The sequence below is a fragment of the Homo sapiens genome, chromosome 2 (assembly GCF_000001405.40).
Source record: "Homo sapiens chromosome 2, GRCh38.p14 Primary Assembly".
Classification (NCBI taxonomy): domain Eukaryota; kingdom Metazoa; phylum Chordata; class Mammalia; order Primates; family Hominidae; genus Homo; species Homo sapiens.
Window position 1 is genome coordinate 4,193,249 of NC_000002.12, and position 1,833 is coordinate 4,195,081.

Below are 1,833 nucleotides of genomic sequence, written 5' to 3' on the forward strand. Positions count from 1 at the left end.
ATTTCCATCCGAGACCACCTCAGCCTGGACTTTATTGTCCATATCACTATCAGCATTTAGGTCAAAGTTATTCAACAAGTCTCTAAGAATTTCCAAACTTTCCCACATCTTCCTGTCTTCTTCTGAGCCCTCCAAACTGTTCCAACCTCTGCCTGTTACCAAGTTCCAAAATCGCTTCTACATTTCAGGTATTCTTATAGCAGGACCTCACTTCTGGTATCAATATACTGTATTAGTCTATTCTCATGCTGTGAATAAAGACATACCTGAGACTGAGTAATTTATAAAGGAAAGAGTTTTAATTCAATCACAGTTATGAGGGCTGGGGAGGGGCCTTGGGAAACATATAATCATGGTGGAAGGGGAAGCAAACACATCTTTCTTCACATGGTGACAGCAAGAAGTGCAGAGTGAAGGGAGGGACAACCCCTGATAAAACCATCAACCTTAACTATGTCTCATGTTTTCTCTTATAGAAATTTGTCTTTATCCAGAATAAACTTTGAGTCTTTTGCTAAGATACAAGTGGAATTATCACACTCTACCTATATAGAGTGGAAACAAAGATGAGAATTTAATTTTTTTTTTTAACAAACATTCTACAAATTCTCCTTATTTTAACCACTCTTTGTATCTTCATTTTCAAAGGAAACTGGTGTTATTAATTTCTGAGTCTTCAGGAAATTCTCTGTACATTATGTTGCTTCTTAGCATGACATAGCAATAGCCAGGGGCCAGCATGGCCTCACTCGAAGGCGGGAAAAGAGAGAAAGAGCTGAGATCAGAGAGGCAGTCAGGAGCAGACAAGGCAGGGTGTAGGCCAGTGTTTGACTTGGACTTCTAATGTGCCCGTGGTGGAGAGACATTGAGTGGTGATGCAGAAAAGAAATGTGATCTGGTCCTGTAAAGAATGATTCAACCTGCCCAGTAGAGAATATCTGGCACGGGGGAAAAACATAAGCAGTGGAACTGATGGGGAAGTGTTGCAGTGGTCTTGATGACAGGAGGGCCTGGCTTGGACTAGGGCGTAGAGTGGAAGAAATGAAGATTTTTTGAATAGCGAGTATTTTGAGTCAGAGTCTCAGGGATCTGATGACGTGGAGTTCAGAGAGAGACATCAAAATAACTGACTCCCAGGTAGATGACCTGACCAAAGGGTGAGTGGCATCCCCACACTCCGGGCCGCCCAGGAAGAGCAGTTCGGGGCCTTGAAAAAGGTGATAATCATGAAATTACCTCAAATTGCATTGGAGATATTTCAAGTTAGCCAGATAAATATATACTGCATGGGAGTGTCTTCAAAATCAATTTTCCTGGAGTTAGAAAAATAGATGGGTTAGGTACAAGCTAATTCGCTGATAGATGAACAGTTTCTGATTACGTGTGTACATCATGCATAGCATGCTGCCGAAAGCTGATAAGCTTCAGTGAAATATGAGAAATGCTGTCTTATCTTGTAGTTCATAACCTGATAGAGGGAAGAGTAACACTCTGTTCTGAAATTGCTTTTAGATCTATATATTCAAACACATGGCCGTTTCATCAGTTCAAAAAGTAAAATGTTTTTCAAATGAATTTTTAAAATGGAGAATTTGATTTTGGTCTCTGGAAACATTTTAGCTTAATACTGTATAGTTGACCTTTGAGAACACTTTTAAGTCATTTTGAATAAAAATCTATGTTTAATAATTTCTCTGTACAGATAAATGCATTTTGCATATGTGCTTCACAAATTGGGAATGGGAGACTATAAATCATTACAAGGAAGGAGAAATAATTTTTTCAATAAACACTTGTTTATTTGGGCAGGGATGTTTTCCCCTTAGATCCTTG

The 1,833-nt window shown here is 39.1% G+C and overlaps 1 annotated feature.

Annotated features, from left to right (window-relative positions):
• Positions 718-1,255: a silencer, noted in NCBI's record as "fragment chr2:4241556-4242093 (GRCh37/hg19 assembly coordinates)". NCBI's record gives its function as "represses an EF-1alpha promoter that drives an FKBP-Casp9 reporter gene in an ReSE screen in phorbol 12-myristate 13-acetate-treated (for megakaryocytic differentiation) K562 erythroleukemia cells {active_cell/tissue: K562(+PMA)}" and the evidence as "EXISTENCE:reporter gene assay evidence [ECO:0000049][PMID:32094911]".